Source organism: Homo sapiens, chromosome 12 (genome assembly GCF_000001405.40).
Source record: "Homo sapiens chromosome 12, GRCh38.p14 Primary Assembly".
NCBI lineage: Eukaryota > Metazoa > Chordata > Mammalia > Primates > Hominidae > Homo > Homo sapiens.
In genome coordinates this window covers 6,827,653-6,851,784 of record NC_000012.12, presented here as the reverse complement: position 1 = coordinate 6,851,784, position 24,132 = coordinate 6,827,653, and the positions used below count along the sequence as shown (strand labels likewise).

The 24,132-nt window shown below is 54.9% G+C and overlaps 3 protein-coding genes across 14 annotated transcripts, besides 7 other annotated features; 1 reads left to right on the top strand and 2 right to left on the bottom strand.

The window, feature by feature from the left end:
- Positions 4–283: an enhancer, noted in NCBI's record as "active region_5885". NCBI's record gives its function as "activates an Ori minimal core promoter by ATAC-STARR-seq in GM12878 lymphoblastoid cells {active_cell/tissue: GM12878}" and the evidence as "EXISTENCE:reporter gene assay evidence [ECO:0000049][PMID:35858748]".
- Positions 444–493: a silencer, noted in NCBI's record as "silent region_4184". NCBI's record gives its function as "represses an Ori minimal core promoter by ATAC-STARR-seq in GM12878 lymphoblastoid cells {active_cell/tissue: GM12878}" and the evidence as "EXISTENCE:reporter gene assay evidence [ECO:0000049][PMID:35858748]".
- Positions 499–6,987, top strand: CDCA3 (cell division cycle associated 3). 8 transcript variants are annotated; one of them, NR_123727.3, is made up of 6 exons: positions 499–563; positions 776–952; positions 1,189–1,318; positions 1,927–2,220; positions 2,372–2,462; positions 2,587–2,957. NR_123727.3 is itself a non-coding variant. In NM_001297602.3 (6 exons), exons 2-6 carry the CDS (start codon positions 833–835, stop codon positions 2,740–2,742), a joined length of 732 nt encoding a protein of 243 aa, NP_001284531.1. In that variant the 5' UTR covers positions 499–563; positions 776–832; the 3' UTR covers positions 2,743–2,957. The 8 variants fall into 8 exon arrangements, 6 of the variants coding, with proteins under 6 accessions (NP_001284531.1, NP_112589.1, NP_001284532.1 ...); NM_001297602.3 differs by having other exon boundaries at positions 2,002–2,220; positions 2,356–2,462; NM_031299.7 differs by having other exon boundaries at positions 2,356–2,462.
- GNB3 (G protein subunit beta 3) lies at positions 4,392–10,860 on the bottom strand. Of its 5 annotated transcripts, none has more exons than NM_002075.4 (10): positions 10,752–10,860; positions 10,441–10,527; positions 10,161–10,199; positions 8,709–8,815; positions 8,548–8,611; positions 8,260–8,422; positions 8,087–8,153; positions 7,807–8,008; positions 5,983–6,199; positions 4,392–4,993 (listed from the first exon to the last, which is right to left on the bottom strand). In NM_002075.4, the coding sequence occupies exons 2-10, from the start codon at positions 10,495–10,497 to the stop codon at positions 4,887–4,889; spliced, it is 1,023 nt and encodes a 340-aa protein (NP_002066.1). In that variant the 5' UTR covers positions 10,498–10,527; positions 10,752–10,860; the 3' UTR covers positions 4,392–4,886. The 5 variants fall into 5 exon arrangements, with proteins under 5 accessions (NP_002066.1, NP_001284500.1, XP_047284659.1 ...); NM_001297571.2 differs by having other exon boundaries at positions 8,090–8,153; XM_047428703.1 differs by having other exon boundaries at positions 10,441–10,860.
- Positions 11,938–23,378, bottom strand: P3H3 (prolyl 3-hydroxylase 3). Its single transcript, NM_014262.5, has 15 exons — positions 22,847–23,378; positions 21,774–21,926; positions 21,231–21,432; positions 21,015–21,146; positions 20,433–20,569; positions 19,871–19,960; positions 18,141–18,193; positions 17,976–18,043; positions 17,736–17,860; positions 14,699–14,800; positions 14,212–14,362; positions 13,936–14,053; positions 13,752–13,827; positions 12,645–12,785; positions 11,938–12,488 (listed from the first exon to the last, which is right to left on the bottom strand). The coding sequence occupies exons 1-15, from the start codon at positions 23,342–23,344 to the stop codon at positions 12,324–12,326; spliced, it is 2,211 nt and encodes a 736-aa protein (NP_055077.2). The 5' UTR covers positions 23,345–23,378; the 3' UTR covers positions 11,938–12,323.
- Positions 21,911–22,446: an enhancer, noted in NCBI's record as "H3K4me1 hESC enhancer chr12:6938503-6939038 (GRCh37/hg19 assembly coordinates)". NCBI's record gives its function as "activates a minimal SCP1, AML or CMV promoter by ChIP-STARR-seq in primed H9 embryonic stem cells {active_cell/tissue: H9 hESC(primed)}" and the evidence as "EXISTENCE:reporter gene assay evidence [ECO:0000049][PMID:30033119]".
- Positions 22,494–22,995: an enhancer, noted in NCBI's record as "H3K27ac hESC enhancer chr12:6937955-6938455 (GRCh37/hg19 assembly coordinates)". NCBI's record gives its function as "activates a minimal SCP1, AML or CMV promoter by ChIP-STARR-seq in primed H9 embryonic stem cells {active_cell/tissue: H9 hESC(primed)}" and the evidence as "EXISTENCE:reporter gene assay evidence [ECO:0000049][PMID:30033119]".
- Positions 22,494–23,015: a biological region, named in NCBI's record as "H3K27ac hESC enhancer GRCh37_chr12:6937955-6938455".
- Positions 22,696–22,755: an enhancer, noted in NCBI's record as "active region_5884". NCBI's record gives its function as "activates an Ori minimal core promoter by ATAC-STARR-seq in GM12878 lymphoblastoid cells {active_cell/tissue: GM12878}" and the evidence as "EXISTENCE:reporter gene assay evidence [ECO:0000049][PMID:35858748]".
- Positions 22,906–23,015: a silencer, noted in NCBI's record as "silent region_4183". NCBI's record gives its function as "represses an Ori minimal core promoter by ATAC-STARR-seq in GM12878 lymphoblastoid cells {active_cell/tissue: GM12878}" and the evidence as "EXISTENCE:reporter gene assay evidence [ECO:0000049][PMID:35858748]".

Below are 24,132 nucleotides of genomic sequence, written 5' to 3'. Positions count from 1 at the left end.
GTTTCCTGGGGACCTGTCCGGTCGGAAAGTCGAGGGACAGTTGTCTTGGTATTTGTAAAGGGGGTATCCAGTGAGGCGGAGCTTGAGGGGGTTGTGTCGAGTGACTGATACAGCTGTCAACCAATAAAGCTACTATCGCTCGCCTCAGGAAAACCATCACAACTCCAGCTGGATGTGCGCATAATAGTGTAATCACTCATGATTCTATTTTGTTTAATAATTCGTTCTTGAGACTAGACGTCTCGAAAGCGAAGACTGGCACTCCTCAGCCTGCCACGGACGGCTCGCAGGCCGATACTGAACAGAAGTACCCTTATCAAGGAGGCGTCACCCCTGGGCAAGCCTAGCATCAGTCCATTGACACCTACAGTCACCATGATAGACGTTCTCCCAGACCAACAGCTTCCTTTGGCTCGAGGCGGGTCTTACGTGGAGGGCCTATGGGAACTACGTCGGCTCAGCCAATAGGGTCAGGGCAGGGGGCGTGGCGGGAAGTTTGAAACTGGTAACTTCGGGAGTTGAGCCACGAGCTGTTGTGCATCCAGAGGTGGAATTGGGGCCCGGTAAGTGATTTGAATAATTTAATAAATAAGTTAGAGGGCTCAGCAGGCCCAGAACGAGCCATTTTGTCAGCTGCAGCAGTCATTAACTCCGCAGAGGCCTCTGGTCCCTCGCCAGGAAGTTTCTTCACTGGAAACTGGGAAGACAGGGTGGTTTAGGGTTGAAGGTCCGACGTGGAAGAGATAAGGGCTGAGACCTGAGTCACTTCTCACAGGCATTCCCTCCTCGTCCCGGGCTGGCCCTTGCCCCCACCCTGCAACTCCTGGTTGAGATGGGCTCAGCCAAGAGCGTCCCAGTCACACCAGCGCGGCCTCCGCCGCACAACAAGCATCTGGCTCGAGTGGCGGACCCCCGTTCACCTAGTGCTGGCATCCTGCGCACTCCCATCCAGGTACTCTGGGCCAGCGTGGGAAAGGCAGAGAATGTCTGAATTCTTGGGTCTCTTCCTAACCTGATTTTGAGAGAGCCGTCATGACCCCACCCTTATCCTAGCCTTATTTTCTGCAATCTCAATCTGTGTGGGGTAGGCTGGATATCTGAGGGCCTTGGCAATTCCTTCCTGGAATATGGGGAGGAGAGGAGAGAAGAGTCAGGGCCCAGACTTGTTCTAGCCTATGGTCTTGACAGGTGGAGAGCTCTCCACAGCCAGGCCTACCAGCAGGGGAGCAACTGGAGGGTCTTAAACATGCCCAGGACTCAGATCCCCGCTCTCCTACTCTTGGTATTGCACGGACACCTATGAAGACCAGCAGTGGAGGTAAGCGTTGGGCCCAGGGAATGCTGATGAAGCTGTCATCTATTATTCTTGGGTAGGGTCCATGAAGCCATTCTCTCAGGGTTCCTTAAAGGGGCCTCTATCCTCCTGCTTCGGACCCATCTCACTCTTATCTCAATATTTTGTTCCCAGCCTGGGTGCGGTGGCTCATGCCTGTAATCCCAGCACGTTGGAAGGCCGGGGTGGTCAGATCGCTTGAGCCCAGGAGTTCAAGACCAGCCTAGGCAACATGGCAAAACCCCATCTCTAGAAAAAATACACACACATAACACACACACACACACACAAAAGCACGGTGGCATGGGCCTGTGATCCCAGCTACTCAGGAGGCTGAAGTGGGAGGATTGCTTGAGCCCACAAGGTCAAGGCTGCAGTGAACTGTGATCACGCCACTGCACTCCAGCCTGGGGGACAGAGCAAGCCCCATCTCAAAAAAAAAAAAAATTGCTCCCTTTCACCTTGATTTCCTTGATTTCTCTCTTCCCACTTGCTCACCCTCCTGGGCATGAGTCCTGGGTTTCTGTATGTTTTGCTCCTTGCTGAATGTTGTGTATCAGAAGGTCACTGTTCACTTCACTTTCTTCCTCTAGACCCCCCAAGCCCACTGGTGAAACAGCTGAGTGAAGTATTTGAAACTGAAGACTCTAAATCAAATCTTCCCCCAGAGCCTGTTCTGCCCCCAGAGGCACCTTTATCTTCTGAATTGGACTTGCCTCTGGGTACCCAGTTATCTGTTGAGGAACAGATGCCACCTTGGAACCAGACTGAGTTCCCCTCCAAACAGGTGTTTTCCAAGGAGGAAGCAAGACAGCCCACAGAAACCCCTGTGGCCAGCCAGAGCTCCGACAAGCCCTCAAGGGACCCTGAGACTCCCAGATCTTCAGGTACAGAATCTAAGGCAAGATGCAGGGAAGATAAACTAGGATAATGTTTTGGGATAAGGTCCATGGGTGAGTGTGGGAGGAATAAACTGTAAGTCCTAGTTTTGGGTCCTTGCTTTAACGCCTTACCCACCCCAGGTTCTATGCGCAATAGATGGAAACCAAACAGCAGCAAGGTACTAGGGAGATCCCCCCTCACCATCCTGCAGGATGACAACTCCCCTGGCACCCTGACACTACGACAGGTAAAGGAAGAGAAAGTGCAAGCTGTTACTAGGATATCCAACGTAGAGGGTGGGAGACCCTTTTACCCAGATCTTCCCTCTTCTGAACAGCAACTCCCCCCAACTCATACACTGCCGTTTTCAGGGTAAGCGGCCTTCACCCCTAAGTGAAAATGTTAGTGAACTAAAGGAAGGAGCCATTCTTGGAACTGGACGACTTCTGAAAACTGGAGGACGAGCATGGGAGCAAGGCCAGGACCATGACAAGGAAAATCAGCACTTTCCCTTGGTGGAGAGCTAGGCCCTGCATGGCCCCAGCAATGCAGTCACCCAGGGCCTGGTGATATCTGTGTCCTCTCACCCCTTCTTTCCCAGGGATACTGAGGAATGGCTTGTTTTCTTAGACTCCTCCTCAGCTACCAAACTGGGACTCACAGCTTTATTGGGCTTTCTTTGTGTCTTGTGTGTTTCTTTTATATTAAAGGAAGTAATTTTAAATGTTACTTTAAAAAGGTATATGTAAACCTTGCACCGAGTTTTCTGTGTGTAGAATGGCGGCCTAGAGAGCTTGCGTTCCCTGGCCTGAGCCCACTGATGCTCTGAGCCTTCTTTGCACATCTCCCTTTAACCATGGTGTCCCTATGGCTCTGTCCTTGGCCCTGCTCTCCCTGGGTGTTTACTTCTAGGGCTTTAGCTATCACTTCCCTATATTCTGGTAACTTTCAGGTCTCTCTCTCTAACCCTGACCTTTATCCAGCTGCTTTATAAGTACTTCAAAGTCAGTTTGTCTAAAACTGAATTTATGATCTTCCCCCAAAAGCTATTCCTCATTCCCTCTTCCCTATCCTTGTGAATGACAGCATTATCTACCCAGCCACCAAACCCAAACCTTGGCCATTATCTCGAATCCTTCCCTCCCAATGTCCTATATCCTAGCATTTGGTCACTAAATCCTGGTGATTCCACATTTTGTTTGTTTGCTTGTTTTTTAGAGGCAGGGTCTTGCTCTTGTCACCCAGGCTGGAGTGCAGTGGCACGATCACAGCTCACTGCAGCCTCAACTTCCTGAGCTCAAGCGATTCTCCTGTCTCAGCCTCTCCAGTAGCTGGGATTATAGGCATGAGCCACCACGCCTGGCTAATTTTTGTATTTTTTTTATAGAGATGAGGTCTTGCCATATTGCCCAGGCTGGTTTCAAACTCCTAGGCTCAAGTGATCTGCCTGCCTCAGCCTCCTGAAGTGCTGGGATTACAGGCATGAGCCACCATGCCCAGCCTGCCCAGGTAATTTTTAATTTTTTTTGTAGATACAGGGTCTTACTATGTTGCTCAGGCTTGTCTCAAACTCCAGACCTCAAGAGATCCTTCTGCCTCAGCCTTCCAAGGCTCTGCGATTACAGGCATGAGCCACTGTTCCAGCTGATTCCACATCTTTAATCTCTTCCTAATCCCTCTCCCTAACCCCTCTGTCCTGTCGCTCTTGCATTTCTTGCCACCTGCCTCCTACCTTGTTTCCCCAGTGCCAGTCCCTCCCTTTCATCAACCTACACTGCTTCTTTCTGAAAGATCTGGAGCAATCTTTCTGAGAAGCATAACTGATCATGTTACTACTCTGCTCAGAACTCCTCAATGGCTTCTCATTGCCCTTAGGAAAAAGTCTGGACTCTCTGGCTTGACATTCAAGACCTTTTATAATCTGATTCCTTCTCAAGCTAACCCTCCCGTACAAACACATGGGCACCACAGGCAGGCCATAGCGAACTGCTGCACACAGTCCCCCAGCCACCTGCTGAATACCTTCTCCCCCTGACCCATCTCAGGCCTCCTCCCATAAGCCCACAAGCTATCCAGTACCCAGCCTTTATCACAGCACCTGTAACACATTACTGCCCTTAAATGGGACCTGGGTCTTTTTGGAACAGAAGAGAGTAGAAGGCAAACATCACAGATGTACCAGGGTGCTACACTTTATTGCAGGTGTCTTAGGAGAGAAAAAAAGGTAGAAAAAGGAGAAAGCATGAATAAGAAGAGGGCCAGGACCCTAGTGGTGCCAGAGCCATAGTCACAGGGCCAAACGCCCTATACCACCCAGGCCTGGACAAAGGTAGTGGCTCTGGGGGAGGAATCCTAGGGCCTGGGGCCTCAGACTCAAGTCTGCTGGGCCTGCAAAGGGCTGGGGAGGGGCAGGTTGTCCTTGCTCATTAAGGGAGAGGCTGTGAGGACTGTGGGGAGGGAAGGCCATGGGAGGAGATGGGGCAGTTCTTTGCCCCTGTGTCCCTGATGCTGCCTCCCAAAGGCACAGTCCCATGCTCCCCACTGCCCTCAAAGGAGAAAGCTTAGTGGGAATGGCACCCGGAATATAGAAGAGAACACCTGAATGAGATGGGGTCGGGCAGGGGGCTGCTGAGTGTGTTCACTGCCTTCCACTTCCCTTTCTCCAGCCTCCTCAGTTCCAGATTTTGAGGAAGCTGTCCCAGGAACCTGTGGCCACAGCCATCCCGTCAGCTGTGACTCCCAGGCAGCTCACCCTGTTATCGTGGCCAGAGAGGATGCCTGAGGAAGAGGGAAAGGAGTCAGCCTGTCTCTCCAAGCTGATTTGGAAAGCAGTGTGTGCATGCGTGTAAGTGTATGTGTGGGTGTGTGGGTGTGTGTGTGTATGTGGGTGTGTGGGGGGATATGTGTGCATGTGTATGCATGTGTGGGTGTGTGTACGTGTGTGTGTGCATGTGTGCTTGAGCACATGCATGCAGGGATCCTAGACTCGGTAGACTGGGCTCAACCCCTGAAGAAGGCTAAGAGACTGAAAGAGGATTAGCTGTAGGGCAGGGGGTTCTCTGTCAAGAGCTTTGGTTGGGGGAGGGCTGGGATCAGACAGAGAAAGGCTGGAAGCATCTGTGTACTATGAAAAAACCCGAGGGCACCTTGACAGGTGCTGGAAAAGAGAAGGCAACCGTTCATCCTATTTCTTTGCTTCCAGATGAAGAAACTGAGGCCCATGGAGGAGTGACTTGTGCAAGGACACTCAGAAAGTGAGCAACAGAATTAGGATTTGGATTCTGCCCCTGGCCAGTGTTATTTTCATCAGCACCTGGCCTCTTGATAGAGAAGAAGCCATCCTATCTGACCAACTTCAGGCTAGTCTTAGATGAGCCCTAGGCTGCAGTCAGGGCCCTCGGGCCACTCCAGATCTCCTTGATTCTGCCTTGATTCCATGTTTCCCTGAGGCTGTCTTGCCTCTCAGTGGGTGCCCCTGAAATGCCAGGAACCCAGAACTGACTGGACAGTCATGGTCCACAGATCTCCTAGGGCAGGGAGCAGTCATGGCATTGGGCAGTGGAGAGAGGCTGCTTAGAGCAACACTGAGGGAAAACAGTCCTAGTTGGGAACCAAGGGGTACTGGATTCCAGGGGTGGAGTCACCCAGTGACAAGGGACAGCAGTAAGAGAGTCCGAAATGGGAGCTGATGGGGGGTACAGAATGGGGAGGGAGGGCTGGGGAGGGTCCTTCCAGCTGAGGAAGCAGCAGCCAGGGCTGGCCCTTACCCACACGCTCAGACTTCATGGAGTCCCAGACATTGCAGTTGAAGTCGTCGTAGCCAGCGAATAGTAGGCGGCCACTGAGGGAGAAGGCCACGGACGTGATGCCGCAGATGATGCTCTCGTGGGAGAAGCAGATCAGCTCCTGGTCTGCCCGCAGGTCAAACAAGCGGCAGGAAGCGTCATCCGAGCCCGTGCAGATGGCCTCTCCATTGGGGAAGAACTGAGGGCACGGGTGGCAAGTGGGTCAGGGATCAGACCTGGGCAGCCCACAGCCTCTCCCGCCCTCTGCCTCCCACCTGACAGCTCCAGGGCAAGCCGCTGCTCTCAGCCTCCCTGCCTGTCCCTCCCTTGGTTTGGGGTGAGAAGCAGCCCTGCCAACACATACCACGTGCCAGTGACTTCCCTATGCCCCTCGCCCGCTCTGCACTATACAGCGCTGCAGGCAGGCATCATTTCCACGTCGCAGGCAAGAGCACCAAGGCTTGCCTGCAGTGACCCGGCTAGAAGGGCGGACGGAGGTTGTCCCAGACTCCCAGACTACACAAGTGGGCTGGATCAGGGTGTGTAAGAACAGGGTCCAGTACAAATGCAAGGCCTGGATCTCACGGCGAGCAAATGTCAGATAAGCTCAAACGGAGGGAGAGTCTACAGAAAACTGGTTTGTACTCTTCAAAAACGTCAATGACATAAAAGACAAAGGTGGGAAAACAGTTCCAGTTTAAAGGTGGTGACGAAAAAGATATGGCGAGGAAAGGTAATGCACGTTTCTGGATTGGATCCTGGACAGAAAAAAACATGAGCTATTATGGACATTTTTGAGGCTATTGGTGAAATTTGAATATAGACTGTAGACTGTAGTATTGTGTCAATGTTGAGTTTCCTGATCTTAAGAATCATACAGTGATTATGCTACAGAAGGGCTTTGTTTCGGGAAGTACTTAAGGGGTAAAGAAACATGATGTCTGCAACCTACTTTCAAAAGACACAGAAAGAAAATGTATATCTACATCTAAGTGTGTATGTGTGTGTGTATCTATGGCTATTTCTCTACAGAGAAAAAATGATAAAGCAAACGTGATAAAATGGGCTAGGCGTGGTGGCTCATGCCTGTAATCCCAATATTTTGGGAGACTGAGGCAGGAGGATCGCTTGAGCTCAGAAGTTCCAGCTCAGCCTGGGCAACATAGTGGGAACCCATCTCTACACAAAAATCAAAACATTAGCCAAGCGTGGTCACACGCATCTGTAGTCCCAGCTACTCAGGAGGCTGTGGTGGGAGGATTGGTTGAACCCTGGAGGTTGAGACTGCGGTGAGCTATGATAGCACCACTGCATCCAGACTGGGCAACAGTGTGAGACTCTGTCTCCAAAAAAAGGAAAGAAAGAAAGGGCTAGGGAAGACTGGGCACAGTGGCTCACATCTGTAATCCCAGCACTGCACTCTGGGAAGCTGAGGTGGGAGGATCACCTCAGGTCAAGAGTTCAAGACCAGCCTGGCCAACATGGCAAAACCCCATCTCTACTAAAAATACAAAAATTAGCCGGGCATGGTGGCGCACACCTGTAATCCCAGCTACTCAGGAGGCTGAAGCAGGAGAATTGCTCCAACCCAGGAGGCAGAGGTTGCAGTGAGCCAAGATTGCACCACTGCACTCCAGCCTGGGCGACAAAGTGAGACTCTGTCTCAAAAAAAAAAAAAAAAAAAAAAAAAATACAGTAAGAAAGGGCTAGGGAAGCTATGGGAGGGGCAGAGGATGTGTATTGTATGTGTTGTGGGGAGTGTCGGGGAAGGAGTTGGAGTGAAGCTGGGGTGGGGGGTGCACTCACACAGATGGCGTTGATGTCCGACTCGTGGCCAGTGAAAGTCTGACGGCAGGTCCCCTCTCGCACATCCCAGAGCTTGGCACTGGCATCACAGGCCCCCGAAATGAAGAGATTGAAGTCAGGAGACACAGCCAGGCTCATGCAGTCACCCGTGTGTCCCACAAATACAGTCTTCTGCTGCCCAGTCTCAATGTCCCACAAGGCACTGCCAAAATGGAGGGAGACTGTTAGAGAAAGGCCGGGCCCACTCCCAAGCCCCAGCACCAGCAATGTTCAGCCTCACCACGTGGTGTCCCCCGAGCTGGTCACAATATTGTTGTCATCCAGGAAGCGGCAGCAGGAGAGATAACCTGGAGGCGGTTAGAAGGACAGTGCCCTGGCTGCAGAGCCACAGCCCACTGGAAGCCCAGGGTTCCCTGAACCCCTCAGGAGGGGAGGAGAGGGTCTCTCCCTCACCTGTGTGAGCAGAAAGCTCCCGGCTGACCTTGACATTGCCCTCACGGGATTTGAGGTTGTAGATGGAACACATGTTGTCCAGCCCCCCACATGCCACAAAGTTCCCTGATGGGGCATAGGCACAGGTCATGACCCAGGAGGAGCGCAGTGGGATGGCGTGCACCTGCAGGGAGGGTGGTTTGAGCAGAGATGGGACCGGAGCCAAGCTCCCAGCTGGGCACAGGAGGGTAGGCATGGCGCCCTTAGGAAGGATGCAGTGGTGGAGGCTCAGGGAGGCAGGGCTGGTACCTTGTTGGTGGTGTAGCTGTCCCACACGATCAGCTTCCCATCTTGCGAGGCACTTACCAGCAGCCTGGGGAGAGGGCATCCCATATCATGCAAGCCTCCCCTTCCCGCCTTCCTCACTCCCGCTCTCACCCTCCCATTCTCGGTTCCCCCCCAAGCCTCACTTAGAATCAGTGGCCCAGTGCATGGCGTAAATCTTGGCCAGGTGTCCCCTTAACGTCCGCCGCGTCCGCATCTGGACTCGTCCCACCACCTCTAGGCCAGACACCAGCTGCAGAGAGAGGGGCACTGAATATCAGGGTGAGCAGGTTACGTGCCCAGATGTCTGTCACTGCCACTGATCTATACAAGTTCCCGCTCTGTGCCAGGCTCTAGGTCAGGCCCCCAGCCTTAGAGAAATAAGTCTCTGCCCTGGAGTGTCTTAGACTGATGTGGGAAAGAGATGCATGCATGGCCAGAGGTGTGTTGCTTGTAAGTGTTTAACAAGCACCTCTCCAGTGTTGGTGAGGAAGGTGGGAAGGTGATTTCCACGATACGAATACTTGCACTTTGACCAGTTTCCAGCTGCCAATGTGAGGTCATTGGAAACAGATTTGGGAAGAGATGCACAGAGCTGGCTCTCCCAAGCCGAGAGGAGCCTGCTTGCACCCACCGCTGCAGCACGGCTAGCTTTTTAACTGGGTGCCTGGGGCATCACCATGACCCTGAACTGTACCTCCTGAAATCTGTGGTACTATGCCCCTTGAGCTCTAACCACATTTTAGACTTAGGCTGGGGGTCCAGAGTGAACAGACTTGATTTGCCATCACTTGCATTGCTATCTTTTTTTAAAAAGTTAAAAGCAATTTTTTTTATATTAAGAAGAGATCTCACTATGTTGCCCAGGCTGGTCTCAAACTCCTGAGCTCAAGTGATCCTTTCACGTCAGTCTCCCAAAGGGCTGGGATTACAGGCGTGAACCACTGCGCCCGGCCTGCTTTGTTATCTTGGGCAAGTTGCTTCACCTCCCTGAGTCTGTTTACTCAAGGTGTAAAATGAGGCTTATCATAGCACCTACCTTACAGAGATATCATGAAAATTCAATGAAATCAGGTATTTATGCAGCTTAGCCCAGTATCTGGCTCATAAAAAGTGTTCACTATTAACATATTTAATCCAATCTAAGATGCATCACTAAGAAAGAAAAGATGCTGTCAATTCTAATTGAAACAATGATCCATTGCTGAATGCACCTTGATTTCAGAGATGTCAAAATGTGAAGAAATGTGCATCTTAGAATTGACAAAATACAGCATAGAAAACTAGCAGCTAGAGTCTACAAGGGCTTTATAATTTACAAAGTACTATCGCTTCTTCATCTTCAAGGCCCTGGGAGGGGGCTGTGGTCACTCTTGTTCTACGGATGAGAATAGGAACCGTGTCCGCATCTTTCGCATCCAATATGGTGCCTGGCTCAGAGCAGGTCCCGCTAAAATGTTGGTCGAATGAATTAATTAATGGGTTTCCTCACTCCAAGGACGTGCTGTACTAATGCTCGGAGCAACGCGCTATTGCGGGTCGGGGAGCTCCCTTCCCCTCCCCCCATGCCCTGCCTTCCGGGGGACAGGGGGTCTTACCTCTGCCAGAGTAACGTCAGCACAGGCTTTCCTGGCATCCTGCAGGGAAAGCAGACATCAGGGGAGCAAGGGCGAGGTGGGGGTGGCAGGTGCATGGGCCTTCAGGGCAGGTTGGTCTTGGGGCTCTGGGGCTTGGGGGTCTCAAATATGCGAACCAAGTTTAGAAAGTCCCTGGTCACTTCTAGTCACTCAAGAGCAAACCCAGCCCCCTCCCCCTGGGCCACGCTCCTCATGTCCCCAGCTGTTTTCTGGGGCCCCAGGGGTAGGGCTCTGGAGTTACTGCAATCTGCTTCTTGAGCTGCTCCGCTTCCTGACGCAGTTGCTCCATCTCCCCCATGGCTGACAGGTCGAGGGGTCACTCTGGCTCCTGCCAGGAACATGGGGTCGGTGTTGAGGAACCCCCCACCAGGCTGTGCTTCTGCCCTTCGTGCCCACACCAGACTCCAAGACACAGGGAAACGACTGGGTGGCTGCACCCTCTCCCCAGCTAGGCCCTCCAAGTTTGAGGTCCTTTGCGTCCAGCCCCAGCCTGCCTGAGCCCTGCCTGCGCCCCAGCCCAGGAGAGCAGAGCCCAGGCCAGCTCCCTCTTACTTGGGCTCTGGCTGGACCTCGGCCGGGTTTCCAGCTCCGGTTCCTGGGAGCCTCCTTACTCCCTCAGCTGCGACGCCCGCGCCCGCCCGTCACCTGCCCAGGCTCTGCTGCCAGAGGAGCTGGCCTGGCCTGGCCTGGCCCCGACCGGCGGGGGGTTGGGGGGGCCTGACAGGGAAGGGTAGAGCCAACCACAACGTCAGGCAAATGAAATCAGCTGGCAGGGGTGGGGGGAAGGGGTGGGGGGAGGGAGGGAGGTGTACGGATTCCAGAGAGACTTGGGCCCAGCCGGGAGGAGGGTTGGGGGCAGGAGTGTGGGGCCATAGAGAGGGGCAGCCCCCACCACAAGCCCTGAGAGAGGAGGGGGTGAAGGGGTGCTTCCCTGGTCAGTCTCTGCAGGCAGAGATAAGAGCATCAGGCCCCACAGGATTAGAGCAAAGCTGTGAGGATTAAGGGTTGGGGTTTGGGAGGGGTGCAAAGGAGCAGACAACTACAGCTCCAGTGGCCCCCCTGGTCCCGGCCCCCATCCATGGTGATGATCTTGGCAGTCAGGGCCACTTAGCAACCAGGCCAGGAGGTGGGATATAAGGGTGATAGATGGCCCCATTGTCAGTACCTCAAACTGTGCTCCTCAGCTCAGGGTGGTGGGGAAGAGGGTTTGGTGAGTATGGGAGGGTACAGGCAGGAGCTGAGATTAGAAAGGACTGATCTGGATAATCCTTCTTCTCGACAAACCCCAACCAGCTGCCTCTGGGTCTGATCCTGTTGGGGGAGAAAGGTACAGGGGACCCACAGAGAAGGATGGACAGGTCTGCCCCTATTGTGGGCGGGCAACGGATTTCAAGTGGAGGGAAGGCCCGCACGCTGCTCCCAGGCTGGGGTCTGGCCCCCTCCTTGCCCTCTCGAGGCTGTGAAAGCAGGGGTCAGAGAGAAAGCAGGCGGCCCTAAGTCTCAGCAAAGCTCAGAGAGGGAAGACAGGGCTTACACTTGGAGGCCTAAGGAGCAGCTGCCAGGGGCTTGGGTCATTTGCATGAGGGGAGCAGGTGGCTGAGATTTCCCTGACAAATCACAGGCTCCAGGCGCCCCGCCTCTGGGAGGCCCAAAGACACCTGTCTCCTCCCAGGCCAGCCAGAGCCACCCCCACCTCCAGCCATCACAGAATCTGTGATACACTTGACTGGCCCCTGGCTGAGAGATCTTCACGACCTTTATTGCACAGACTGGGAGAGAGGAGCAGGGTTATACCTCCCAACCCCACCATCCTCTTCATTTAAAGCATCAGCCTCCTCCCCTGCCATTTCTGTTCAGGGAGGCACAGTGTTCCCCATCTGTCCAGGGCTGCAGGTCCGGCAGCGGGGCCCCGTCCCAGCTCCCCAGGCCTGGTGAGCTCCAGGCTAGCCTGTGCACTGTCCTCTGAGTCCAGGCCCTTGTAGGTCCCCAAGATGGTGGGGGTGCAGGGACAGAGAGCTTGCTGTTCTGCTCCTGATGTCACACAGGGGCTTCCTGTGTGTCCTGGCATCAAGATGGCCTTCCACAAGTCAAGTGGCCACATCCTCAAGGAGCTGGCTCAGCCACTCACAGCTCCTCCCGAACCCGAGGTGCCCTTCCAGTCTTGTCTTGGACCCTCTGGTGCCTGCGGCTAGGGGGCTCTGGGGAAGGGTCTTTGCTGGGCATTTCTTCCTCTTCCTCTTCCTCCTCCTCCTGTGACTCCTGCAGCAGTTCTTTGGCTTCTATCCACTCCTGGGGTTGGGGAGGAGAGTGTGGCCCATTCCCTGCACCCACCTTCCCTGGGTCAGCTCAGCCCCTGACCCTCACCGACTGTGAGCCTTCTCGGGGGCTCCTTGCCCACCCTTCACGCACCAGGAGAACCACATCCCTTCCTACCCCGCTCCTTACCTGCTCCCTGTGCTCAGGTGCCCACGTGTGCCACAGTGCCAGGGCACAGCGCCGTCCCCGAGTCACGGCCCACACCCCATGGGGATTCTCGACACCGGAGCTGAAGGCCACAAGGCGCCCACAGCGAGGACGCACCCGAGCCTGGAGGGATGAGGGCAGGTTCAGCTCCAGGGATTGGCTCTCTCAGAGAACTTGGCCCTCACTCCCTAGAGCAGGATGGGGACAGGGGCACAGAGAGGATCAGCTCTCTCGCTACCACTTCCTACTCCTTAATTCAGGGACTAGCTTGGGGCAAATGAGAAATCAGCTTCAACTTGCAGAGCAAAAATGCAAGAGGAGTTGGGAACCAAAGGAAAAAGGGGTCTCCACGGATGGTCTCCTGTTGGTTCCTGACCCCTGGTACCCTGATTTTTCCCACTCAGCCCTTTGAATCCAGGGCTTGAAGCAATCTGGGGCTGTGCATGCAGTACCAGACTCTATGCAGAAGGGGATACAGATATTGGAACCATTTTCACACCCCACACCCAGATGAACAATCACTGCCCCTCTCCTCCTACCCAATCCTAGCCCCTGGTGTCCGGAAATTTCCCACCTAACATTCATTAATTGCTTATCATTACCAGGCGCTGCCTCATTCTTTTAGGTACATTACCTAAATTACTTCCTACAATGACCCTTTAAAATACGTACTATTATTATCACCCCAGTCTAGGAAACTAAACCTCAGAAAGGTTCAGAATCCGAGCCCCAGTCAAGGCGGCCCTGGTATCTGTGCGCCAGCCACTGTGCTCACCTCGCTGCAAAGAGGAAGGACTATTTCAAGTTCCCCAAATCCCTAGAATAGGGCCATGGAGTCCTGGAGGCACCTGCAAGCTGTGCTTCATTCACCCTTCTTTAGGAGGCGAGACAAATACTGATGGTAGGGTTGATTCGGCCACTTAGAGACCTTGCTACGGAGGAAGCAGCGGGAGGGCTGCGGAGGCGGGGAAGTGAAAGGGTTAAAAGCCCTGGCCATTTCCCTGCATTTGCCTCTGGAGCCTTCTGTTTTGAATCCTGACCCCACAGCTGGGCCCTTTGTCACACCGTCACACCCCCCACTCCACGCACCGTGACAGTGAGGGCGTTGGGCTCCGTGAAGAACAGGTCCCCACCCTGGAAGTCATCGTTGAGGTAGAGGAGTCCGCTGGGGAGGGAAAAAAGCAAGAGGCAGTGAGACCCCAACCCAGGCCCAGGCCGGCAGTGGGATGACCTTTGTCTGCCCACCTGCCTGACCACTAGAGGGGCTGCCCACCTGTAGTCCCGATAGGTGTAGGCTGGGGGCTCCCGCCAGCACTCTCCCGTGTCAGGGTCCAGGACGCAGTTGTCTGCGTGCACTGGGTGACTCAGGTCCATGCGCTGCTCTTGCTCTCCTAGGACACAAAGGGGTCTGGGGGTACCTCTGTGCCCCTGTGCCCATCTGCCACCCTGTGGGCTCAGGCCGTGCACGTCCACCCCGGGGCTCTTGGGGGCAGTGTCCTGGGGGCAGGGCCTGAGGTTGGAGAAGAGCAGTGGGGGGTCCCTGTCGTACCTTCTATGGCGCTGCGGCACACCAGGTGGGTGAAGGACAGATGCAGGGGCCGTTCCGGGGAGAAGTAGGCCTGGGTCAAGGTCCGCACCCGCTCGCTCACCTCCAGAAGCAGCTTAGCACCCTGACTGCCCACTGTCCCAGCCCGGGCCAGCTGCAGGCAGTGAAAGGCAGGGCAGAAAAGGAGGAAGGCAAGGGGAGGGTGGTCTCGGCCCTAGCCCCTGCCCAACTCTGCCGCTCTCCACCCATGGGTTTGGAGTCTGTCAGCATCCAGCTCTGTCCATCAGCCCAAACTGCTCCTTCTCTCTCCATGACAACAACCCCGGCCCCAGCTCTCAGAACATCCCTTTTCTCCACGCTGGGTCCTATCAGGTAGTCTCGGTCCCAAGAAAGCTCCTTCACAAAAGCCCAGGCCCTGGGGCCCGGCTTCCTGCACAGCCTCTCCTCCAGGTCTGGGCATCAGACGGGCCCGGGTGCCTCCTGTGCTCACCTGCGCAGCCTTAAGCACCGTGAGCCCCTCGAAGCGTTCATGGGGGGTGTGAGGGGAGCGGCGACCACGATAGCCAGACCTGGCTCCAGCCCCAGCTGCATCCTAAATAGGAAGGAGTTTACCGTGGAGTCACTCCCCCAGCCCCTCACTGTCTGCAGGGCTGCAAGACCCTCCCTCCGGCCCTCCCGCTCTCCAGAAGAAGCTAGATGCTCCCACAGTTCTGTTGTGGCTCGTCTTCCTGAGCTGCTGCTCTTTCCCAGAGAGTGCCCACCGCCACGGCTGTCCGATTGTCCCTCTCTGGTACGGGCTGGAATCCCGCTTACTAAGGGGACTGTGGAGAGAACTCGGGAGAGCTTCCTACAGCAGTAAGGGGGCCTCTGAGAGGGTAGGGACAGCTGGAAAAGTGGGGCAGAGCTGGGAACTAGGCAGGAAGGGCTTGATCATTAATCCCCGATGAGCCAAGAATAGAGGAGTCCCTCTGGAAACAGGACCCTAAGAGGAAGTTCCACAGTTAGGCCAGACTGGCGGTAGGGAGACAGCATCAGCGGGCTATCCCTCTCTGACCTCTTCCCACCTGACATGCTCTCGGAGAAACTGTGGACTCCGTGGCTCCCCCACTCCTTGATACTGAGTCACAACTACCCAGCCACCTCCGCGACCACTCTCACTACCTGGGGGTCTCCTAATATCTGGATGTCTACACTGGAATTATTCGCTTTTCTGACACCCGTTTTTTGTCTACTTTTTGAATTTGTTTAAGCACCACTATCTAGTTACGCCTGCATACAAATCTCACTTCTGAGAGACACCTAGTCACCCAAGCCGTCTAACCTGGGGTTTTTTTTTTTTTTCATTTTTTGTTTTTGAGACGGGGTCTTGCTCTATCGCCCAGGCTGGAGTGCAGTGGCGCCATCATAGCTCACTGCAATCTCCACCTCCCAGGCTCCAGAGGTCCTCCCACCTCAGCCTCCCAAGTAGGTGGGAACATATAGGCGCATAGGCCCAGCTAATTTTTTGTATTTTTGTAGAGACGGGGTTTTACCACGTTGCTCAGGCTGGCCTGGAACTCCTGGGCTCAAGCCATTCGCCTGCCTCAGCCTCCCAAAGTGCTGGGATTACAGGTGTGAGCCACCTCGCCAGCCAACGGTGGCATTCGTCAATTACTCCCCTTTTCCGGGTCTTTCTCCCACTGCATTCTACAGACTGCCACTAGAGGGCTCTACCACTCCTACAGGTGACTCCAGACCCTGCACCTGATTCCAGGTACTACAGGAATGCAAAAGTCAACCGTCCTAAAATCCTGCAACAGCTGTCTACCATACACAGATAAAGCCCAAACTCCTTGGGAGGCCACAGAAGACACTCACTGTCCCTCGGCCTTCATGTGTGGGCTCTCTCCCTCTTTCCCTATACTGTCTCTTGGTAACATACACCCTGATGATTCTATGTTCTTTTTTAATTAATTAATTAATTAATTAATTATTTAAAAAAATTTATTTTTCGAGGCGGAGTTTTGATCTTGTTGCCCAGGCTGGACTGCAATGGTGCGATCTCGGCTCACTGCGACCTCCGCCTCCTGGGTCCAAGCGATTCTCCTGCCTCAGCCTCCCCAGTAGTTGGGATTACTGGCACCTGCCACAATGCCCACTAATTTTTTTGTATTTTTAGTAAAGACCGGGTTTCACCATGTTGGCCAGGCTGGTCTTGAACTCCTGACCTCAAGTGATCCACCTGCCTTGACCTCCTAAAGTGCTGGGATTACAGGCATGAGCCACCACACCCAGCCAGTGATGATTCTGTGTTCTAAGAGCTTTATCATGTGCTAACTCATTTAATCCTCACAACGACACTATGACAAAAACACTATTATTATCCTCATTTTATAGATGAGCAAATTAGGCTCAGAGATGTTAAAATAAATTGCCCAAGATCACACAGGTAATGACTATGGAGCTGGCCCTGCTCTCACCCCTGTGCTTGACTGCAGTTCCCAGAATGCACCATGCTCTTCTCCCTCTTAGACTGATTCCACCCCCAATCGCCTGACTAACTCATCCTTAAGACTGAGCTCAAATACCACCTCTCCAGCAAGCCTTCTATAACTGCATTTCAGTGCTTCTATTTGACATACTTTTTTTTTTTTTTTTTGAGATGGAGTTTCGCTCTTGTTGCCCACGCTGGAGTGCAATGGCACGAGATCAGCTCACCACAACCTCCGCCTCCCGGGTTCAGGCGCTTCTCCTGCCTCAGCCTCCCGAGTACCTGGGATTACAGGCATGTGCCACCACGCCTGGCTAACTTTTTTGTATTTTTATTAGAGACAGGGTTTCTCCATGTTGGTCAGGCTGGTCTCGAACTCCCAGCCTCAGGTGATCCACCCACCTCGGCCTCCCAAATTGCTGGGATTACAGGCATGAGCCACCATACCCAGCCCAAAAACATACTTCTTTTACCAAACTTACCACCTGCTTATATTATGTATTTCCTTGTCTGTTTCCACCTCTACACTTGAGCTCCCAAAGGGCAGAGTCTATAATCATCTTCCTCTCCCTAGAACCTAGCAGTTTCTAGTGTATAGCAGCTACTCAGTGAGTATATTACTGAATGAGCACTAACCTAAGATAAGGGTTGAAGCTTCATAAAATGGTAGCCTCAACCTGGTGAGTATGAGTCATTCAACCTAAACTAGGAGGGAAAGAAAGGCCTGCGTGTCTGCTGAGCCATCAGCCAAGCCAGTAACTAAACTCTTGGCTAACCAAGCAATCCTTACCTGCACACTCATCCATTTTTATGCCTTCATGTTTTTTGTTTTGTTCTTCCTATCAATTTCTAGCAAAATTCATTTGTAAAGAACATCCACCTATGTCAGCTAAATTAAGACGAGACGGAACTTATCCACAGCTGAGAGGCAGTGGTAAGCACAGTCCCGGTTGGATAATCAGGACAGGCAGAATGAAGGGGGCAGGCCAAGAGCAAGGGAACAGGTGATTGTATCCAAGAGTCTTGAACGAGCTGATGAGCTTGCAGGTCTTCCTACCTTAGCCAGCTGCAGCAGCACCCCACACTCGGCTGGGGTGAGCAGCCCATCCAACACCGCCCGCTCCGACCCATTCAGCTGCCTGGAATCCTGGGTCAAGGTCACACCCTCCAGGAGAAGGACATCTGCCAGGGAAAAGACAGAGCAGAGGGGGCTGAGCATCCCCTAAGGGCAGGCAGAGCAGTAGCTGGCAGCCCCCAGACCCTCCAGGCTCCTGCCTTCTCCCTCCCAGGAACTCACCCTTCCAGTAGGTCAAGGGCTTTGGCTTCACGGGCTCATGGTCCCAAGGCCTCTTCTCTTGATCCTCTCTCAGGGGTGAGAGATGCGCTCAGTGGGTGCCCAGGACAGTCCAGACCCAGCCTCCCAGCTCGGGCCAAGCCCCTCCCACCATGGGGCATATCCTACCTGAGCTTTTCTCTAAGTGCCTCAGGGATGAGAGCTGCAGGGGTCCAGGGGTCCTGCGACAGTCCAGAAAAGCATCATCACCCACCAAGGTCAGCCCCTGGAATCCCTGACATTAGAGCTGAAATATCTCATTAAGTTTCTTCTGTTTCCAGAGAGGAAGACGGAGGTAGGAAAAGCCCGGGACTCAATGTCAGGAGCCCTGGGCAGTGGATCAAACTGTAACAACAAGTACAACTATAACTCATATAGCACTTACTATCTGCTAGGGGCTATTCTAAGAGCTTTATTCATGGAAATGGAATTTATCCTTTAAAGTTCACAACAGTCTCATGAAACAGAATATTAAAGTGCTCATTTTGTAATTGAGAGCCCTGAGACACAGAGAAGTAAAGTAACATGCTCAAGATCACACAGCTACAAATGACAGGGTTAGTTGTTTTTTGTTGTTGTTTTTTGTTTTTTGTTTTTTTGAGACGGAGTCTCACACTGTCGCCCAGGCTGGAGTGCTATGGCGCGATCTCAGCTCACTGCAACCTCCGCCTCCTGGGTTCAAGCGATTCTCCTGCCTCAGCATCCCAGGTAGCTGGGATTATAGGCGCCCGCCACCACGCCCAGCTAATTTTTTGTATTTTTAGTAGAGACAGGGTTTCACTATGTTGGCCAGGCTGGTCTTGAACTCCTGATCTGGTGATCCACCTGCCTCGGCCTCCCAAAGCAGCGTTAGGTTTTAAACTAGCTGCAGGCCGGGTTCCGGTGGCTCACGCCTGTAATCCCAGCATCTTTGGGGGTCCGAGGCGGGTGGATCACCTGAAGTCAGGAGTTCAAGACCAGCCTGGCCAACATGGTGAAACCCCATCTCTACTAAAAATACAAAAATTAGCCAGGCAAGATGGCGGGCACCTGTAATCCCAGCTACTCAGGAGGCTGAGGCAGAAGAATCGCTTGAACCTGGGAGGTGGAGGTTGCAGTGAGCCAAGATCGCACCATTGCCCTCCAGCCTGGGTGACAGAGTGAGACTCTGTCTCCAAAAATAAAAATAAAAATAAAAAAAACTAGCTTCAGAGTTCACACATTTAGCCAGTCGTTCTCAAGCAGGACACTTCTGCCCCCAGGGGTCATTAGGCAAAGTGTGGAAACATTGATTGCCATGACTCAGGGGCTGTCAATGTGCTATTGATCTCTACTGGGTAGAGACCAGGGAAGCTGCTGAACACCCTCCAAGGCATAGGACAGGCCCTGCCCTCTGCCCCAACAAAGAATTATCCAAAATGTCAGATCCAAAATATCAGTAGCGCCAGGAAGACTGAGAACGCCTGCTTGATGCCCTAGTCCTAGCCATAGATAACCTCCGCCCCGCAGTTTCCTCTCATAACTACAAGAAGAGAAATAAAAGCAGCAGTAACAGAGCTTTCTATATTTTGTTATCAAATGATGTGGTTTCAACAGCCCTGTGAAACAGATGTGATTATTCCAACTTACAGGTAAGGAAATTGAGGCAGAGGCAAGTTGAAGTTCAGAGATGTTTGGGGCAGAGGAGGACTGACATTTAGGCCTGCGTGACCCCAAAGCCGCCCTAACTACAGGCACACTGTCTCCGTCCCTGTAAAACTGGGATGGCAGACTCTTCTCCAAGCCTCATGGTGGAAAAATGGAAAACTCTGTTGCAAACCAAAGTGCCATCCCTCCTGGGAGTGCGGAGGGGTGAGATGGGCAGAAGTGGAGTGACTCACAGGATCCTTGAAGCTGGTCCCCAGGTGCTCCATGGCATAGTAGAGCTGCCTCTTCTCCCCCAGGGATCGGAGGATGAAGCGCTGGATGTCCTGAGGGTGAGATGATGAGCAGTGAGGGGTAGCTGGAGGAAGGCAGGGAAGCGCCGGCTCTAGGGCACTGCCTGGGTGCTCCATGCTCCTTGAACCTGGCACCATGCCCCCCGGTTCCTCTGTTCAACGTTCCCCCTCAGCAGCTTCAGAGCATCTGGACTTAAACTGGAAAGGGTGTAGGGGGTGGGAGTGTGTGTGAGTGTGTGGGTGTGTGTATGCATGAGTTTGGGGGCTGGTGGCAGGCAGGAGTGAAGTAAAGGCAAGAGAGACGGGGCTGAGGGCTGGAATCGGAACTCCAGGCTGCCGTGGGGAGCAGGGAGTGGAGACGGAAGTCAGATGCTGGACTTGGAGTCCTTTGGGTGACTAGAGTGCTCGGGTAAGAGGCCAGCGGGGGGTGGGGGTCCAGGTTACTTCTCAGGTCTATTTGTTTGATTTGGGGCTACCTCCCAGGTGAGCGTGGAGAGGGGATTACCTCTCTGGGTCCGAGGCCAGGTCTCGGCTCTCCCAGCTGGGCCTGGTACTGGTTCAGAGCCCTCTTGGCAGCCTCATCCTCCGGGTAGAAGAGCAGGACACTCAGGACATTTTCTATAGCCTGGGACAGATTGCCCACTGGAGAGGGAGCGACAAGGTCAGGGGTTGGGGGATGAATACTTAGAGCACATTGATCCTTGGGGCAGAGGCAGTGCTGGAGAAGGTGGTCTCCAGAGGCCAGACAGCTAACTCCAAGAGCCCCCTTCCCACTGGCAGACAAGTTCAGCTGCCGGTTCTTTCAAACACTGGTGCAAACATACCTTAGCTGGAGAGTTCAAAGAAGAGCAAGAGGGGGGAAAATAAAGGAAGGTGAGAAGCAGCAAGGCAGAAGGAAGCCCATCTCCTGAGCTTGTCACAGGCGCCAAAGGAGGGCAAATTAGAGTCCTTGTGAAGTGATGGTTCCCATGCAGCCCTGACAGTGAAACTACAAATCCAGAGACAGATGGGAGGGATAGAGAGATGGAGCTCAGGATAGCAGCAGAGGCAAATCTTCACTCCCCGTTTCCACCCTTCCCCAACTGACCCTGAGCATGGGCCTCATGTAGCCGCCTCAGCTGGTTGGGAAGGAAGTCTGGGACAGGGAAGCTGCGACCAGGGCGTGTGGCTGTTTCCCCCACACAGCGTTGCCGGCACTGCAGGACCTGAATCCAGTGTCCTGCAGAGGAAACCCATAAGCCATTCAGCTTGTTCATGCCCCTCCCTGGGCACCGACCCACCCCCTCACACACGGGACCCTTACCTGCAATGGCCTCATAGAGGCCCCCCTGGCTCGCAGCCCCATCCTCCTCTTCTTCAGCCCCCTGCTGCTCCTCAGGCCCCTCACAGTCAGCACGGCAGCTCTCCATCTGGGCCAGGCTCCCCTGAAGAGCCTCCTCTAGCCTGGGCAGTGCCAGTCCTGCCTCCTGGCGCCCCAGTAGCTCCAGGCCAGTGTCATAGGCTGCCTGTTGGGGAAGGGAGCAGTCAGTCACCTAAGATCCAGGGGTTGCCAAACTGGGAGGTAGAGAGGAGAGGGGTGTTGGTCTCATTTGGGGCAAGGACTCCATGTCCCTCTTCACCGTGGAGAAGAATAAGGGTGGGCCTCAGAATCATAATGTTAGAACATCAGATTTCAGTGATCATCCAGGAAGGAAACGAAGTCCTAGAGAAGGACTCCCAGCCAGGGTCGCTGAGGATCATTACCCCATCTGTATGCTCAAGCAGCACAACGCACAGTTTAGTGAGGCCTGTGTATCCAGCCAGGAAAAGGCTGGTGGCAAGACAGGGGTGGTGCTGGGATTCTCACCCAGTGTGGGGGCGTCTCCAGGTCCCGGAAGCTCTGGGGCCGAACTCCCGACATTCGTCTGTACTTAGCCATGTCCTCCCGCATCTGCAGGTGCATGGGGTTTGCTACAAAGAAGGTGTGTGCTGCCGCAGCTGCCAGATCCAGCTTCTTCAACTGAGGAGGCGAAGGGAGGAGGGCATCAGAGCCCTGGGACGGGGGGCAGACCTCTGCCCCCTGGCCAGCCTCCCCACCCTACCCCAGACACACACTCTGGGTGCCCCAGAGCCTCATGGAAGACTGGCCAATCAGAACCGCCCACCGCCCGAACTGCAGATCCCCTAGAGGCCAGAACGTTGGGACTCTCAGAAGGCTGGCACCGAGGGAAAGGGGATCTAAAGACGTCGGAGTTGGGTGGGACATGGGTCTCAGGACTTCAGGACCTCAATTTGGGAGACCAGGTGGAAGTGATGGCTTAAGTGAGGTGGGGAAGTGGGGGAGACCTCAGCGACCAGCAAAACCCGCAGGTCTCTAGGACCCTGAGCTGAGGTGAGTACAACCGGCGCCCCGCTTCCCCAGCCACGTAGGCAACTGCTGCGGTACCGGCGGCTGCGGCGTGCTGTCCCCTCCCCGCCCGCAGAGGTCTGGCCTCGGAGGACCCCAACCTTGCCTCCGTCTGCTCCTTCCTTTCCGAAGCTACCTCCTGCCCCAAGCGAAGGTTCACACTCACCACCACCCCCGACACACACACACACCCACGCACACTTCCCGTCCGAGAGCCGGTTTCGCCCCCACCGCCTCCGCTTCATTCCTAGGAAGAGGCGGCCCTGTCCCTCCATCTTCGATCTGCTCCCGTCCCACCTCACGACCTCCCCGCCCCATTCCCATTCTGCTCGCACTCCCCCTCGGCTGCTCCTCTGCGATCTCAAGAGGTCCTCGCGGTCGCTTAGCCAGCTCCTACGCAGAGGCCCGCGGTACGCTCCCCAGCCCCGTGCGGGGCCCGGGCAACAGCATTCCGCCTACTCCTGGGCAACGCAAAGTAGGACAGCGTCGTGGTGAGGGCTGGGACCCTCGGAGCTGCCCGGCCCGCTCCCCACCTGGTAATAGGCCCTCTGCAGGTAGTTGTAGGGCTCCCGACGGCGGAAGGCGTCCCGGAGCGCGCTCCCCACGCGAAGCCGCGCCGCGCCCCCGGGGCCCAGCCTCCGTGCTGCGCACTGGGTCAGGCAGTCTGCGCGGCGGAGCGCTGCACGGAGAAGCTGTCGCTCCCAGGACCCCTGCGTGGGTCCCGGCCCGGAGTCGGGCTCCGGGGCCCCGAGAAGCACGGCGGGGAGCGCGGCGCCCGGATCGGCCGCGCAGCTCGCCCCGCAATCCAGCCGCACCCGGCCCAGCGCCGCCTGGCTCCGCAGCGCCTCCCGCAGCAGCGCCACGGCCGGCGCCCAAGCCCCGGCCGCGTAGGCGCGCAGCCCGTCAGCGTAGAGCAAGTCGGGGGCCTGCGGGGGCGCCCCCGGGGACAGCTGGGTCAGGCCGGGGGGCTCAGGGGACCCCGGGGGAGGCAGCAGCAGCAGTAGCAGCAGCGGCCGGAGGAGCCGGAGCATGATGTCGGAGCCGCCGGCAGCCGAGGGGAAATGCGGGAGCCGAGAGGGAGGGAGAGGAAAGGGGGGAAGGGGAGGGAGGGGGAGGAAGGAGAGATGGAGAGGCGGAGGGAGAGGGAGAAATAATGAGGGAGGCCGAGAGAGAGAGAGAGAGAGAAGATGGGGCTGAGACCCGATGGTGGGAGAGGCCCATGTGAAAAGATGGAGAGAGAAGAGTGCTGAGTGGACAAAGCTGGTCTAGTGTGGAATAAGAGGGAGAAACTGGGAGGAGGAGGGCAAAAGGCGGGAACTGGAGCAGGCCTGGGCATCCATGAAGGATGACTTCAGCCCCAGCGGTGACTTCAGCCCCTGAGGTCTGGGGGTAACTACTGGGGCTGTGTTCCCTCCACACACACGCTTCTGGGTCCAGAAAAAGGAGTGTGGACGCCGATCCCCCCCTCGCCCCCCCCCACCCCCCCACACTCATCCACCCCTGCACTCCCACCCCCCCACACTCATCCACCCCTGCACTCCCACCCCCCCCACACACTCATCCACCCCTGCACTCCCCCACACACACACTCATCCACCCCTGCACTCCCACCCCCGCCCACACACACACTCATCCACCCCTGCACTCCTTTGGAGAAAGAGCTTTAAAATGCAGCAAGGAGGAGGTGTCCAGGCCCGGGACACTGCATCAGCCCCAAAACCTTTCCTGCCCATAAAGTGAGCCCCTGCATGGATTTGAGGTTAGAAGGAGAGTTGGGCACTGGGGCTGGAGCCACGCTCTAAAACCACCTCAACAAATC

Coding starts and splice junctions, on each gene's coding strand:
- CDCA3 (NM_031299.7), top strand. CDS start 833: ATGGGCTCAGCCAAGAGCGTCCCAGTCACACCAGCGCGGCCTCCGCCG. Junction 1,319..1,926: donor TATGAAGACCAGCAGTGGAG/GTAAGCGTTGGG, acceptor TTCTTCCTCTAG/ACCCCCCAAGCCCACTGGTG. Junction 2,221..2,355: donor TGAGACTCCCAGATCTTCAG/GTACAGAATCTA, acceptor TACCCACCCCAG/GTTCTATGCGCAATAGATGG.
- GNB3 (XM_047428702.1), bottom strand. CDS start 10,497: ATGGGGGAGATGGAGCAACTGCGTCAGGAAGCGGAGCAGCTCAAGAAG. Junction 8,816..10,160: donor CTGACGTTACTCTGGCAGAG/GTAAGACCCCCT, acceptor CTCTCTCTGCAG/CTGGTGTCTGGCCTAGAGGT. Junction 6,200..7,806: donor CGGACATCAACGCCATCTGT/GTGAGTGCACCC, acceptor CCGTGCCCTCAG/TTCTTCCCCAATGGAGAGGC.
- P3H3 (NM_014262.5), bottom strand. CDS start 23,344: ATGCTCCGGCTCCTCCGGCCGCTGCTGCTACTGCTGCTGCTGCCTCCC. Junction 21,927..22,846: donor TGCAGAGGGCCTATTACCAG/GTGGGGAGCGGG, acceptor TCGCCTCCTCAG/TTGAAGAAGCTGGATCTGGC. Junction 17,861..17,975: donor GCCCTTGACCTACTGGAAGG/GTGAGTTCCTGG, acceptor TTTCCCTGGCAG/ATGTCCTTCTCCTGGAGGGT.